Source organism: Homo sapiens, chromosome 1, assembly GCF_000001405.40.
Source record: "Homo sapiens chromosome 1, GRCh38.p14 Primary Assembly".
NCBI classification, from domain to species: Eukaryota; Metazoa; Chordata; class Mammalia; order Primates; family Hominidae; genus Homo; species Homo sapiens.
Genome location: NC_000001.11, coordinates 244,244,330 through 244,260,792, shown reverse-complemented (window position 1 = coordinate 244,260,792; position 16,463 = coordinate 244,244,330). Strand labels below are relative to the sequence as shown.

At 44.1% G+C, this 16,463-nt stretch overlaps 1 long non-coding RNA gene across 3 annotated transcripts in view; it reads left to right on the top strand.

The window, feature by feature from the left end:
* The window catches only part of LOC105373262 (uncharacterized), a 94,430-nt gene that overhangs the window by 64,385 nt on the left and 13,582 nt on the right, over positions 1-16,463 (top strand). For 2 of the 3 annotated variants that reach the window (XR_007066983.1, XR_949343.3), the window contains exon 2: positions 7,080-7,142. This is a non-coding gene — a long non-coding RNA (uncharacterized LOC105373262). Of the gene's footprint in view, positions 1-6,193; positions 6,497-7,079; positions 7,143-16,463 lie in introns of those variants that run through there. The other variant, XR_949344.3, reaches the window with a different exon arrangement.

Here is a 16,463-nt window from a genome sequence, read left to right as displayed (position 1 = left end):
ATATATGTATATGTATACAAACACACAGACATATAGTTAAATTTTCTTTTTCTTTTTCTTTTTTAAAGAGACAAAGTCTTGCTATGTTGCCCAGGCTGGTCTTGAACCCTGGGCTCAGCCTCCCAAAGTACTGGGATTGCAAGCATTAGCCATCGTGCTGGGCCTCATTTTTTCTTGTTGTTTCCCTATGCTGTGTTCCACAAGAATTCTTCAGTATTCTCTTCTAATTAACATATTCTTTATTTGATTGTGTCAAGTCTAGCTTGATCTCATATACTGATTTTTTTTTTTTTTTGAGATGGAGTTTTGCTCTTGTTGCCCAGGCTGGAATGCAATGGCGCAATCTTGGCTCACTGCAACCTCCACCTCCCAGTTTAAGCAATTCTCCAGCCTCAGCCTCCCGAGTAGCTGGGATTACAGGCTTGCACCACCACACCTGGCTAATTTTGTATTTTTAGTAGAGACGGGTTTCACCATGTTGGTCAAGGGGTCTCGAACTCCTGACCTCAGGTGATCCACCCACCTCAGCCTCCCGAAGTGCTGGGATTACAGGTGTGAGCCACCTCACCTGACCCTATACTGAATTTTTAAAGGAATCTATTTTTATATTTCAAGCCTTCTAGTTGTTTCTTATTCATATATAACCGTTCTTTTATTTTTTCCCTCTCCACATTTTCTTGGTGTCTTAAAATGAAAGATATTATTTCATTTATATCTTTGTGCATTATAAACATTCTTTTTTTAAAAAAAAATCTTTTCTAGGCTGTTCCATAAAATTGATTTAATCAGAAACCAATTCACATTCAGGGTCTTAACTTCATTCTCATTAGATTTCTTTATGTTTCGGGATTGGGTTTGTGCTCTGATTGTGAGTGGGAGGTTTGTGTTTGTTTTCTCTCTCTCCACCTCACCTACTCCCCCCATTTCCCTCTCCTTCCCGGTGATTTCACAGCTGCTTTGAGTTGTTGCATCCAGGTCTCTAATCCTGAATCGTGTCCACTGTTACACGGCTCTCCTCCCATATTAGGCAGGGTTCTCCAGGGAAAAAGAACCTGTAAGATACTTACGAGATTCACATGGATTTGTTGTGGGAATTGGCTCCTGCAGTTATGAAGGCCAAGGAGTCCCGTGATCTGTTGCCTGCAAACTGGAGAACCAGGAAAGCTGGTGGTGTCATTTTCTTTCAGTGCAAAGTGCAAAGGCTTGAGAACCAGGACCTCTGATGTTTGAGAGCAAGAGAAAACGGATGACCCAGCTCAAAGAGTGTGAGCCAATCCATCACCTTCGTCTGCCTTTTTGTTCTATTTGGGCCTTCACTGGATGGGATGGTGCCCACCCCATGGGTAAGGGAGATCTTCTCACTCAGTCTACTGACTCCTGTGCTAATCTCTTCCAGAAATACCCTCACAGACAGACCTTGAAATGATGGGTTACCGGCTACCTGGGCATCCCTTAGCCCAGTCAAGTTGACACATGAAATTAGCCAACATACCTACCCTAGCAACATTAGGGCTATCATATCCACAGACACGACATTTGATTTAGGTTCTTTGTCACAAACGCTTCCTTTCCACAGCGTACAAAGCTGAAGCCCCAGATGCTATTGTGTCAGCAGCTTACTTTTTCGATTTCTTTCATCACCCATCCGAGTCCCTGCCTGCAATGAAAATTATTCCACTTCCCCTGTCATATGGAGCACTAGTAATTCCCCTGCTCTGCAGGATGCAAATTTTAGGCTGTCCCTTCCTATAGGATGCTAGTTTCACCACTTTTTGTTTTGATAACAGAGGTAATTATGTTGAGCCCAGTTATTTTGCTTTTGATTTGTTTCTTACCTATCAGTGCTATGTCTTTGCAGTCAAGGCGTGTGAGACAGAGCGTGACGTCCCTGCACTGGCTTCCCCAGGATCCTGTCTTCTTTTTGAGGCTCTCCACACTCTTCCTCCTCCAGTGAATTGTGCACTGTTATGTTTCAGGTAGTTCTGAGGACAGCCTTGATGCCGGCGCTGGGCAAAAATAAAGGGCTCCCACTTCCACTCTCAGCTCCCAGAGGGATGTCCTTGGCCGTATCGCCAGGACATCTGCCCAGGAAAGGAACAGGGGAGTATAAGAAGATATCAGCTGCAAAGACCATCCTTCATTGTAAGAACGATGCTGGAGGAGAGGACGTGGAGGGATAGGGGGCTTGTTCTCTCCCCTGTTCCACTCCACCAAACTTCCCAGAGAAAAACAATTTTTTTTTTCTTTTTTGAGACAAGGTCTTGCTCTGACACAGAGGCTGGAGTGCAGTGGTGCAATCACGGGCTCACTGCACCCCTGAACTCCTGGGCTCAAATGATCCTCCTGCCCCAGCCTCCTGAGTAGCTGGAACTACAGGCATGTGCCACCATGCCCTGCTAATTTATTTTTATTTTTGTAGAGATGGAATCTCCCTATATTGCCCAGGCTAGTGTTGAACTCCTGGGCTAAAGTGACCCTCTTGCCTCAGCCTCCCAAAATGCTGGGATTACAGATGTGAGCCACTGACCCTGGCAGAAAAAGATGTTTTAATTGCCAGAAACATATGTGGAAATACTGAAAGAACAAGAAATTAGCTGCCTAAATTTTGTTACCTTTTTTTTTTTTTTTTTTGAGATGGAGTCTCGCTCTGTCGCCCAGGCTGGAGTGCAGTGGCACAATCTCGGCTCACTGCAAGCTCCGCCTCCTGGGTTCACGCCATTCTCCCGCTTCAGCCTCCCAAGTAGCTGGGACTGTGGGTGCCCGCCACCACTCCCGGCTAATTTTGTTTTTGTATTTTTAGTAGAGACAGGGTTTCACCATGTTAGCCAGGATGGTCTCAATCTTCTGACCTCGTGATCCGGCCGCCTCAGCCTTCCAAAGTGCTAGGAATACAGGTGTAAGCCACCACACTTGGCCAGTAACGATAATAATTCTTTTTTTTTTTGACACGGGATCTCACTCTGTTGCCCAGGTTGGAATGCAGTTGTGCGATCTTGGCTCACTGCAACCTCTGCCTCCTAGGTTCAAGTGATTCTCCTGCCTCAGCCTCCTAAGTAGCTGGGAGTACAGGCATGCACCACCACACCTGGCTAAGTTTTGTACTTTTAGTAGAAACAGAGTTTTGCCAGGTTGCCAAGGCTGGCCTTGAACTCCTTGGCTCAGGGGTTCTGCCCACCTCAGCCTCCCAAAGTGCTGGGATTACAGGCGTGAGCCACTGCAACTGGCCACCTTTTTATAATTCTTATGACACTGTAAATAATCTCAAAAGTTCCCAATTAGATAGAAAATAAAAGTAAAGAAAAATGGGCCAGGTACAGTGACTCACATCTGTAATACCAGCGCTTTGGGAGGGCGAGGCAGGAGGTTTGCTTGAGGCCAGGAGTTCAAGACAAGTCTGGGCAACATAGTGAGACCCCATCTCTACAAAAAATTTAAAAATTAGCTGGACATGGTGATGCACACCTGTAATTCTAGCTACCTGGGACTGAAGCAGGAGGATTGCTTGAGTCTAGGAGTTTGAGGTTGCAGTGAGCTATGACTGTGCCACTGTACTCTAGGCTGGGTGACAGAATGAGACCTTATCTCAAAAAAAAAATTATAAGAGAAAAATGAAGAACATTTTTTATGTAATTGACTATAGTACAGAATAGAATTGGAATTTAAAGTTGCTATTGTAGTTATTTTATTTTATTATTTTGGAGACTGGGTCTTACTATGTTTCCCAAGCTGGTCAGAAACTCCTGGTCTTAAGTAATCCTCCCACCTCAGCCTCCCAAAGCCCTGGGATTACACCAGGTGAACCCTCCTGCCCGGCTCTGTAATTTTATATTACTTATTCTTAATATATTTTCTTTAAAAAATATTTGAAAATAATTGTTATTTAAATTACCTAACCTTGTATATTAATTAGTTCCTGATATTTCTTAAATAAAGGATTCCTGTGCTGTGCACTGATGTGTAACTCAATCTGCACACCGTGTAAAACTCTTGGATTGGAACAAATCTAAGAGATGAAATTTTTTCCAGGATAAAGCTGAACCTAACCGCTCACCCAGTGTGAATATTCTCTTTACAGCCTGTTAAACAACACAGCTATAGAGGCACATGTGGTTTTGTGTGTATGTGTGTGTGGCTACGAAGGGTTAAAATCTCAGGTTCTCCTAATTCTGTGAGCATGTGGTGGCCAGCCCAGAGCCAGATTGAGCCATGTTAATTTCCCAGAAGATTTCAAGGAATTATTTTTTGAAAAGGGAAGTTTGGACTAATAAAAACCAGGATAACCTCCGGCAGTCACATGGAAAAGAACAGAGACAAATTACTCCCGGTTTGTTCGACATTGTGGCCGGGGGCTTTCTCTAGCCAGACCAGACTGCTTTGTTTTTCCTTCATTCCAAATAGAGGAGTGATTTCAGTCATGTGCTGGGAAAGGTAAGAGCAGCAAAGTGATGCTGAGTGCTCCTCTGTGCTCTCTTTCTTGGGTTCGGCTCTTCCAGAGGCGCGGTAGGCGCTGCGAGGGCTCCGGCGTCATCAGGCCCCAGGTTTGGATTCCTGTTTGGCCACTTTGGGGAAATTTATGTTTCCCCTCTGAGCTTCAATTTCTATAACTATTAAGGAAGATAATTAACCTCATAGCCATCATGTTGAAGATTTGGATGTGATAAGGTCTGTAACGTGCCTGGCACATAGTAAAGACAAAAAAAATGCATAGAAATGCCTGGCTTACCCTCGGATCAGCTCCTCTCTTCAGGGTCTCATAGCTGTGGAAACCTCACCTCTTTTGTAAATAGCTCCCTGCAGGAGCTATTTGTAACCAGATGATTGACAGAGGGTTTGTGTACACATTAAGGCATTTTAAAATAAAATATCGGTTATCTATTGGCTATTGGCTATGTAACAAATTTCCCCCAAAATTAGGAACTTAAAATAATCTTCTTTTTTTTTTTTTTTTTTTTTTTTTTTTAAGAAACAGGATCTCAGTCTGTTGCCGAGGCTGGAGTGCAGTGTTGTGATTGTGGCTCACTGGCTCGTGGTAGCCTCAACCTCCTGGACCCAAGCAATTCTCCTACCTCAGCCTCCTGAGTAGCTAGAACTACAAGCATGCACCACCATGCCCAGCTAATTTTTTTTTTTTTTGGCTTTTTTACAGAGACAGGGATCTCACTATGTTGCCCAGGCTGGTCTCAAACTCCTGAGTCCAAGCGATCCTCCTGCCTTGGCCTCCTAAAGTGCTGAAATTATGGGTGTGAGTCACTGCACCCAGAGAAAACAGAAACAACCATTTTATTATGCTGACAGATTCTGTAGGTCAGGAAAGCACAGCTCCATGATGTCTATGGCCTCGACTGGGAGAACTGAAAAGTGACAGGGGGCGGAGGGCGGGTGGCGGTGACCAGCCCACTGGGGGAAGAAATCATTTAGAGATACGTTCATGCACATTCCCAGCTGTCAGTTAGGACCTCACACTAGGAACACCCACACATGGCACCTCCATGTGGCTTGGGCTTCCATACAGTATGGCGGTTTCGTACTTACATGGCAACTGATGGCCTGAAGGCAAGTTTCCCAAGAAAACCAGGCAAAAACAGTACCACTTTTTAGGTCCTAGTCTTGGAAGAAGTCACATAGCATCACTTCTGCTGGGTCTCAAGCCCTTCCAAGTTCAAGGGGAGGGAACGTGGACTTCACCTCTTGATGGCAAGAATGTCAGTCATATTGTGAGAACATGTAAAATGGGATATGTGGCATCTTTGGAAAATACAATCTGCCCCAGGGTTGAGTGAGTCAATAGTAAGTCCTCAAAACATTTCACTGGACCTGGTGAAGTATGAAAAATATATTTGAGGAGAATAGCTACAAGGCCATTGCCACTGTGGTTCGGGTGGGAAATAATGAAGGCCTGAAAAAAGCAGCAACAGAGAGAATGGAGAGAAGGAGGTGGCTGTCAGAGTTGGCCCTGGGATAGAATCACTCTCCTGCATGCAGCGCAGAGGAATATGAAAAGGAGAAAGAAGAGTCCCAAGGCTCTGACATTTTGAACCTGAGTGCCCAGCAGGGTGGGGCTGCTGTTATCTGAAATAGGGAAGTCACAGAGAGAAGCAGGAAACCTCCTCTTCCCTCTTTGCTCACCACATGCCTGTCCCTTCCCCAGCGACTTGGGCGTATGCGGCCTCAATCTATTTTGCATGCATGTCCTTTGCTTTTCACAGATCTGGACATGAGCTCAGATCCTGGGGCCTCAGTAAATCCCTCCAGGGCTGGGACGACGACCTTTCAGAGATGACATCAAGGGCTGTGCCTGGAAATGAGGCCATTTATGGAGCTGATTTTGAGTCCAAATCTGCTGTTTACTTTCAGCTTTACCTGTATAACTAAACGTCCAGGAAAAAGCAGTTGGACATGTGGAGCTTCTGCGAACTTTTTCAGTATCATCAGGAAAAGGCATGAGCAAACATCGCCTGATGAAGGAGCTCAAGTTCGCTTTTTGTGGCACTTGGAGGTCAGGCCCTTAGGACTCCATACTTAATCATGTTCTTTTTTGTTTGTTTTGAGATGGAGTCTTGCTCTGTCCCCCAGGCTGGAGTGCAGTGGCATGATCTTGGCTTACTGCAAGCTCTGCCTCCCGGGCTCACGCCATTCTCCTGCCTCAGCCTCCTGAGTAGCTGTGACTACAGGTGCCCGCCAACACGCCTGGCTAATTTTTTTGTATTTTTAGTAGAGACAGGGTTTTACCATGTCGCCCAGGCTGGTCTCCAACTCCTGACTTTAAGTGATCCGCCCACCTCGGCCTCCCAAAGTGCTGGGATTACAGGCGTGAGCCACTGCACCCGGCCAGGAATTACTTTTAGAATCATCATGTGAACCATTATCACTCTATACCTTGTTTTTTGACCCCAACTTGCCTTACCCACTATATAACTCAGGGCTCTTTTATTTACAAGTGACAAGAATTAAATTAAGTGAAAAAGCAAATTTATGGGCTCGTATAACTGGAAGGCTGGAGCATCTGGCCTCAGGTGTGACTGGATGCAGGAGCTCAAATGATGTCCTTGCATCTCCACCCTTTTCACTTCTCTCTGTAGGTTCAACTCATTCTTGATCACTGACAATGGACTTCCTGCATGCGCTACAAGCAACCCTCCCAGGTTAGTAACCCCAGGGAAAAGAGAGCCTGCTCCCACTTACCCCTTCTTCCCCACTCCCACCACCATTCATACCTCATTTCTGGGCAGGACTCTGATTGGTGCAAACTGAGCTATGTGCCCATTATTGGGCTTAAAAAAATAGGGAAAAAGCACATGTTCTGGGCAGGCAAAAATAGTAGTGGCCAGTGGCTACCTCACCTGCTTGGCCATCATCCTTGACGCTGCATAGACTCGAACTATTTCCCAAACCTACCCTGGTGCTTTGTTAGAAACACTGATTCTCAAGCCCCCATCCCAGGCCTACCAAGCCAGACCCCACAGTTTAACAAGATCCCCAGGTGATTCTTCTGTACCTTGAAGTTTGGGACAAGCTGAGTAAAAGGAGAAAGGGAGCAGGGCACAGTGGCTCACGCCTGTAATCCCAGCACTTTGGGAGGCCGAGGCAGGTGGATCACCTGAGGTCAGGAGCTCGAGACCAGCCTGACCAACATCGTGAAACCCCATCTTTACTAAAAAATACAAAAATTAGCTGGGTGTGGTGGCAGGTGCCTGTAATCCCAGCTACTCAGGAGGCTGAGGCAGGAGAATCGCTTGAATCCGGGAAGTGGAGATTGCAGTGAGCCAAGATTGTGCCATTGCACTCCAGCCTGGGTGGACAGAGCAAGATTCCGTCTCAAGAAAAAAAACAAACAAAAAAAGGAGATGGGCAATGGCTGTGAAGGAGCTTTCCAGAGACGAGCCTGAGCAGGTTCTGAGCATGGCAGCATGATGGTGGCAGGCAGCCAGCCTCCCCAGGTTAGCCCACAAGGAAGCAGCAGGCCTGGGTACTGCATGGATACCCCAGGCAGGGACTCAGAGACCAGAACTGGGGTACAAAGTCACAGCTAGCGTAAGCCATGACTCTGGTTCTGCTCAAACGTTGAACAGGCAACACCTTGAGTTCCCTGAGTGCAGCAGGCAGGGTGCCGTAACCTGGGTAGGCTAAGCCTGTGGAGGGTGTCTTCAGCAGCTTCTGCAGAGAAGAAAAGAAAGCTTTGAGGCCAGGAGAGTCCATTCCCAGAGTTTTACTGCGGGCAAAAGGTGAAATGACTTTTCTATTTTTTATTTTTTAATAAACTTTATAGTCGGTTGTTAAAGTGTTTCTGAAATTTGGATCCTGTCTAGTTGCAAATAGAGCCACTTCATGCATAAGAGTTTATGCAAAACACAATCATGCCTAGACAGACCACGCCCATTTCCAAGTGAGTTATTCATAGGAGTTAGATGTGGAAATTAGAGAAATTCTTAGTTGACTCCATCAGTTCCCATATCTTTTATTTATTTATTTTAAAGAGAGTATTCCTGTAAGGAGGGCTGCAGAAATGAAAGGCAATGGAAGTTTAATTAGATAGAAAGGTTTCGAGGCCTGGTGGTCTGGGCCAAAGACTGAAATTGCTTCCTGCCGCTTGGCTCAAGGCTCTGAGTCCTTTGCAAACCCAACATGGGACCATGACACCGGCCATAATGCCAGGTGCTGGGGAGCAGCTTCCCCCGGGACTCCAGGCTGTCCTGTCCTTTCATGGGCCTCTCGCGTGGTGTTCCTCACATGCATGCTCCTTTCAGGACTGCACCACAGCCCCACAGTCCTGTGAGACTGGAAGATGCTTTTGCTGTCAATAGAATTCCAAGCCCTAGAGTGTGGGGGTTATGGAAACAGGTTCTAAAATCAGACACACTGAGTTCAAATCCTTTTTTTTTTGCCACTTATTAGATGCCTGATGTTGAGTGGCTACATAACTTTAGTCTCCTCAACTACAAAATAGGGTTAGTGATAGGTTGGTTATGAGGATTACACAAGAAAGTGTACAGGAAGTAAGGAGGTAGAGGTTGTGTCATTTTCCTAATCATATTCTGAGCTCTTGGCCCAGCACTTAACCAAATGTTAAAGCAGTTAGCTCTGCTCAGAACATGGCAAGCACTTAATCAATAGGAGCTATTATTATTATTATTTAGTGTCTATAATAAAGTTTTATTAGAACATAGCCATACCCATTTGTTCATACATTGCTACAACAGCAAAATTGAGTATTTACAAGAGATCATATGGCCTGCAAAGCCAAAATATTTATTACAGGTTGAGTACCCCTAATTTGAAAATCCAAAATCTGAAGTGCTCCAAAATTCAAAACTTTTTAAGTGCTGACATGGTGCTCAAAAGAAATGCTCATTGGAGCATTTTGAATTTTAGATTTTTAGATTAGGAATGGTGAACCAGTATAGATTGCAAATATTCCAAAAATCCCCAAAAATTCAAAATCCAAAACACTTCCGGTCCAAAACATTTCAGATAAAGGATACCCTTGTCTGGTCCTTTATGCAAAACATTTACCCCAGTTCTATCTGACAACTTGGAGTTTTCCTTTGTGTTTAAAGGTTAAAACAGGAAAACAGGATGTGAATAGTGAGGTATAATATTTTTGTTTCATAAGTGTAAATTTTAGTTCATACATGAACATTTTTTCTAATTTTGAATTGTATATCTAAACTTCAAAGTTATTCTTCTTGGCCAGGCGTGTGGCTCACGCCTGTAATCCCAGCACTTTGGGAGGCCGAGGCAGGTGGATCACCTGAGGTCAGGAGTTTGAGACCAGCCTGGCCAACATGGCGAAGCCCTGTCTCTACTAAAAATACAAAAACGAGCTGGGCGCGATGGCAGGCGCCTATAGTCCCAGCTACTTGGGAGGCTGAGGCAGGAGAATTGCTTGAATCAGGGAGGCAGAGGTTGCAGTGAGCCAAGATCCTGCCACTGCACTCCAGCCTGGCAAACAGAGCGAGACTCTGTCTCAAAACAAAACAAAAAAAACGACAAAAAAGAAAGTTATTCTTCTCTTTTGTTTGAAAACAACAACAGCAACTAATGATTAATACTGCTGTACATTGTATTCTTGTACTAGGGCTGCCATAACAAGACTGAGTGGCCTAAACAACAGTAATAGAAGCTATTTACTATTCCTGAACGGTTGTTTGATTTTGTATGGTGCCTTCCCTCAAGATGCTGCTTAGTAAGCGCACGCTCTCCATTCCCATGGCATGAATATCAATTAACATTACTTTAGTCTTGAGAATCTTATGACGTTTCTTTCTCGAGATAATTGGAGACATCCTTAGGTTTTGGAGAAATGTGGAGTCCAGAAAGAATTTACAATTACAATATACATTTATTGGTCTTGATCACATTAATAAGAAGGGACTGCCACTCCCCATTCATTTTTTCAGGTTCCCACGGCTCCTCTTGTAATATCTCTTTCTGTGCACAACCAAACAGGACTTGGGGGACTTGAGTTAGGGATTCCTCAAGAATTTTGGAAGTAGGTTTATGTTCACACACAAGGATTTGTATTCCTGGTTTGGGTTCATTTTTCCTCCATTCATTCAGCACAGTTGTTGGGAACCTTGTCTCTGGAAGGCAGGGTGCCATGCGCTGCAGGTGAGAAAAAAAAAAGCCAGCCATCCCATTACTGGGTATATACCCAAAGGATTATAAATCGTGCTGCTATAAAGACACATGCACACGTATGTTTATTGCGGCACTATTCACAATAGCAAAGACTTGGAACCAACCCAAATGTCCAACAACGATAGACTGGATTAAGAAAATGTGGCACATATACACCATGGAATACTATGCAGCCATAAAAAATGATGAGTTCATGTCCTTTGTAGGGACATGGATGAAGCTGGAAACCATCATTCTCAGCAAAGTATCGCAAGGACAAAAAACCAAACACCGCATGTTCTCACTCATAGGTGGGAATTGAACAATGAGAACACTTGGACACAGGAAGGGGAACATCACACACCGGGGGCTGTTGTGGGGTGGGGGGAGGGGGAGGGATAGCATTAGGTGATATACCTGTTAAATGATGAGTTAATGGGTGCAGCACACCAACATGGCACATGTATACATATGTAACAAACCTGCATATTGTGCACATGTACCCTAAAACTTAAAGTATAATAATAATTTTAAAAAAAGCCAGTTTTACATAATGAGCTTCTCCTCCATGCCTCTACCTTAACCCAGTTCCGTGGCCATGCTTGGGAACTAGCATTCAGGGTCCTACCCATCTTCCCTGGACTCGGCACAGTCTCCCTTCTTCAAAACTTCCCCAACTGCCTGAAAGCCAATGATTCTACAATCTGTATCTTTAGTCCTAAACTCCTTTCCCAACCAATGACTCAAATGCTCAAGTCTTGGGGAGAAATTCACAGGATGTTGGCTGCGCTTCCATCTCAGGTGTCTTTTGTGTATCTTCTTTGTGAACGTCAAACCAGTTTGGTTTCACGAGAATTTTTGCAGGGCTGTGAAGATCGAGGTTGGGTGTGTTTGTTTATTGGTTTCCTCACCTGCAGTTTTTCCTGAGTGTGCTTTGGACACTTCTTTAGTGATTTGCCCAAGCAGGCCTCTTCCTCTAGAACGTTCTGCTCCTCTTGCTTCCCTGCCCTCTGTTTAATAATGTGGCCCATCCCAGAAGGTTTTGTTCACATGTTTCTCTGAGAGATGTCTTTTTAGCACAGCCCTGCTTGCACCAGAATAATCCCCTCTTGTTTAGCTCTTTGGAGTGTGCATTGCCTGAATCTCTCAGGGTTCTGGGCTCCCAGTGTCTGTGTCAGGGTTACCTGTGCTTGCTCAGTCTCCTCTACAGCTGGCAAGTTCCAGAAGCACTGGGAACATCCTGGATGTTCCATCTCACCGAGCCTCCAGCAAACTTTTCATTAGCTGGGTGACCTTTGGCAAATGACTTACCCTCCCTTTATCTGTGAAAAGGGGATCTTATAACCCAACTCACAGAATAATTCATCCAACAGTCTGGCTCAGTGCCCCACACATACTCAGCATTTGACGCGCTTTTATTTTCCTTCTTCATTCTCTGTGCTGCTTAGATGTTCGGTAAATATTTCCTGAATGAATGCATTAATTAATAAATATATACATAGGATGATTTTCCATTCCAAAGTGCTCACAGCCCTGTTAATGTTTCTCTTCATTGAAGCTGATGACATTATTATGTAAAAGACAATGGTAACTATGAACTATTTCTCCTTCCTGGTATTGTTCAGGACTTGAGGTAGGAAAAAAGAGTAACTCAACCTGTGTAAACACTAGCTATAATTCTTTGAAGCTTTTGCAAGCCTGATAGAAGAAAAAGCCTATCTGTTGTTGTTTTAATTTGCATTTCTCTGATTACCAGTGATTTGAAGCACTTAAGGAAAAACAATAGAAATATGCTTTTTAAACTACTTGAAGGCTACTCGCGGTTTAAAAAGCCCCATCCCAGGCCTACTGAGCACTGAATTTAGAATGGCTAGATATGCATGCTCGTGCCATCAAATTCCCAAGACTGCTCAGGTTGTGAGGTCACACAGAATGCTGTAGACGAGTTGTGTGGCCAAAGAAGAATGGTGTTTCAGCCAGGGCAGCTCCCTGGGAAGCCCAGGAAGTGCCTACCTACATGATCCTCAGACCGGCCCACATGATGCTTTACCCTCTTTCAGTAGCCATAAAGCTCCACAGACATTTCCTCCTTAGAAATCTTTCCTAAGCCCCTACCTATGGCCGAGTTCCCGGAGCCATCTCACCTCTCTGGTAGAATCCTTGAGCATGCCTCTCCTGGCCAGAGTCAGAACTGAACTCCTCAAGACCCGGGAAATGAGTGGCCTACCTCCTTCCACGCAAGACCCATGGCCTAGGTGCCCACATCTGAGTTCAGGACAGAACTTTTCCCAAGGTGGGGTACAGTGAGAGCAAATATGCTCTCCCATGGGGGCTGGCCTGCTACCTGCAGAGCCCAACCTGAGCCTCGGCCTCCCTTGGAACAGCCTTCAGGCCACAATGAACTGGGCTATTCAGTCTTGGAGAACGCTCCTTGTGGGACTTTTGTAGAATGGTCAGAAAGGGCTCTGGCAACCCTTGTCTGGTCTTTTCTGGGGAGTCTTGCCTGCCTAAAGTGATGATGGGCTTCCTCCATCCCCCCAGTCTCTGCTCTCCCTCTCCTGTGAGCTAGCACTTGAAAAATAAATGGAAAAAATATATACCAACCAAGAGCTGAACATAATTTTCAGAGACTGTATAATCTAAACCCATTTGTAGAAAAGTAAGAACTGAGTGTGCCCATCCTGAACAACCTTTTATGTGATTATGCACCACAATTTGATCAAGTGAGCTCAAAGCTTCCCATTCTGGAACTGGATCTTTGCTGTACCTTTGCTCAACCAAAAGGCCCACTGAAGTGTATATTTCTAATATAAGGTAGTAGAGATGAATTCCAAAAATCTATATCTCTAGATAAACTCGTTCACAATAAAAGATGCTGGCTTTTTCTTGGCTTCTAACCATCAAAATTACACACATGTCAGTAGGTAGGTAGGTGGGTAGGTAGATATTGAAAGATAGATAAATGGATAGATAGATAAACATAGATACAGAAAGATAGCAATAGATAGATGATTGATAGAGCAATAGAAAGAGATAGAGAGATAGAGATAGAGATAGATAAGATGACTGACAGATATAGAAATAGACAGATGGACAGACAGATGGACAGACAGACAGACAGATGGACAGATAGATGAAGATAGATAGATAGATAGATAGATAGATAGATAGATAGATAGATGTGCTGGTTTCAGCCAGGTTCCTTGAGTCCACATACAAACATGCACCACATTATTCATTGTTGTTTCTAGTAATGATTCAGTCAGGCAGGAACAAACCAAGGTGGGCATCAGATATGGGTTCAGGACACCTCTGAGGAGGATTATCACCTGCTGAGTGAGGACTATACCACTCATACTTGAATAACAGAGACAGAGGAATCTTCAGCCAAAGGTGAAGGCTTCGAGGATTGCTATCAGCCTAGACCTTGACCCATCTCACTAGATAGCAAAGCAATCAATAATCTGTGAAGAAGCAGACACTGACTTTGTTTCTGAGAGAAATACAAAAAAGGGGAAGCAAAAACAGGAACCCACCTTTATCTCATGTAGAAAGAGCACTGCTAGAATGTAATCAATATCATGTAGGGTGGTAAAGTGTGGCCAACACCTTCAAACATCTTTATGAGAGAAGCACTGTGACCTCAGATGACGAATGGGCTGGGGTGGTTTAACGTAGTAACGAATGACCTGGTTGCAATTCTGGTTGTGACACTTACTAGCTGAGTGATCTTGGGTACATTCACACCTCTGGGTCTCAGTTTACACCTCAGCGAAATGGGGATAATAGTTGCTACATTAGCTATTGCATAGGGCTTTGGTGAAGAGCAAATGATGTAATTAATAAAAAGTGCTTAGAATGGTGCTTGGCACATAGAGAAAGCCCCTCAAAGCTTCAGAACTTAAATGGAGAGGCCTGGCTACAGGTGGCTGCGGGTGCCAGAAGAGGGGGAAGGTGCTCTGATGAGGAAACCAGGCAGCTTTCAGGGAAGCTCCATCTTGCAGTTTTTGATCTTTTGTTACGAAAATGTTTCATCACGCAGCACTATAGAGAGAACAGTTTAATGGACACTTAACCCATTTCTTGGCTATATCCACTGTTAACATTTTACCATATTTACTTTATCTATTAAAAAATTTTACTAACATATTTTAAAGCAAATTACAAATATCATTACATTTCATCCCTAAATGCTTCACTGTGTGTCTCCAAAACATAAGGACATTTCCTTTCAGAACCATAACATCATCATCCTATCTAACAAATCAATAATTCCCTAATCTAACACACAGTATATTGGAGTTTTTTGTTTTGCTTTGTTTTGTTTTGTTTTTGAGGTAGTGTCTTGCTGTGTTGCACAGGCTGGAGTATGGTGGCATGGACATGGCTCAACTTCCTAGGCTCAACCAATCCTCCTTCCTCAGCCTCCTGAGTAGCTGGGACCACAGGAGCATGCCATAATACCTGGCTAATTTTTTAAAAAATCTTTTTTGTAGAGTTAGTGTTTCACCATGTTGCCCAGGCTGGCAACTTGAAATATTTTTGATTTCAAAAAAGACTATGCTGGAATGGAGACCATTTTGTAGACAAGATGTAAGTCACCATATGTGGGAAAGAATGCTCTGGGTACTAGGATAAAGAAAGCAATGTATCAATTGGCCACTGTTCCCTTGTGGAAGTTTACCCTCTGCATACTCGCGGAGAAACATAGCCTGGCCTGAGATCCTTAGTGTGAACGAGCTCATTACAATTTGCTTCTTTTGAAAGGAGGAAAACATGTTTTTGAAGGCTGCTTGACAGACAAGGAGGATATTAATAAATGACATGCAAATTTCTTAATTTCACTTTGGCTGGCTATGTGATTGCTGCTTCTGAAATACAGGATGGTGATGGAGCTTCTTTTTCAGTAAGATTTCTTGAGCTCTGAATATATGTTGGGCTGTCCAGCCTAACTTGCCTGATAGCGGGGTGGGGATTATTCTGACCTGAGAGGGGTGCAGTAAGGACACATCTGAATGAAAATTGGCCCTAAATAAAAAGTAGAGAGTTGAATTTTGAGGCTGTTTCTTGGGTGGATAGACTGTAAAGATCTGACTGAAAAGCTGCTTAAAGTTCTTTTTATAGCTCTGTTGCTCACACATGAGAAAGCGATTTCATTGATTGGCCTTTTGCACTTAACTTTTGTCTTCTGGTTGTTTTTCTATTTCTCCCTTTGACTCTACACGTTGATAGGAGGATCCACCCGCCTTGGTCCCAGCATGGGTGCTCCGGGATGCCCAGCTCAAACAACCCTTCCCTCTTCTCCCAAGAACAGGTGTGAGAGCCCCTCCCCATCCCGCTATGGGAGACCCAGGGGTGCCCTTTGGTCTCCATGTTGGATGGTGAGAACCCCACAGTATAGGGTAGTGGTCAAGGGCATGGGTTCTGGAACAAGACTACCTGGACTCAAAACCTGCCTTCGCCACTATTCCTGGTTCCCTTTTCCCAAGGGCAGGGAAGAGGAGCCCTTCAAATATGCCATTCTCTTATATTTACCTCATTGAGAAAATATTCTCATTTGCTCTGGAAAAGACTGTCCTTCCCCAAGAATGAGTGACCCACTTTCTTATGTAATGAAGAAAAGTAGCAACTAGAAATTGGGGGTGAATGTGGATACAAGATGAACATTTGTATCCTGCTAGCTGTTCTTAACTCCCTGGTTTACTTCGTTTTGGTAGAAGGAATTCACTTTCATCTCCCCTTCTTTTAATAGGTATTTTCTCTTGCCTGTGGATTTTGTGTACTTAGAATAAAAAAATCACAATATCCCAGTTTCAAGATAGAAAATGACTGGTTATGTAGAGGAG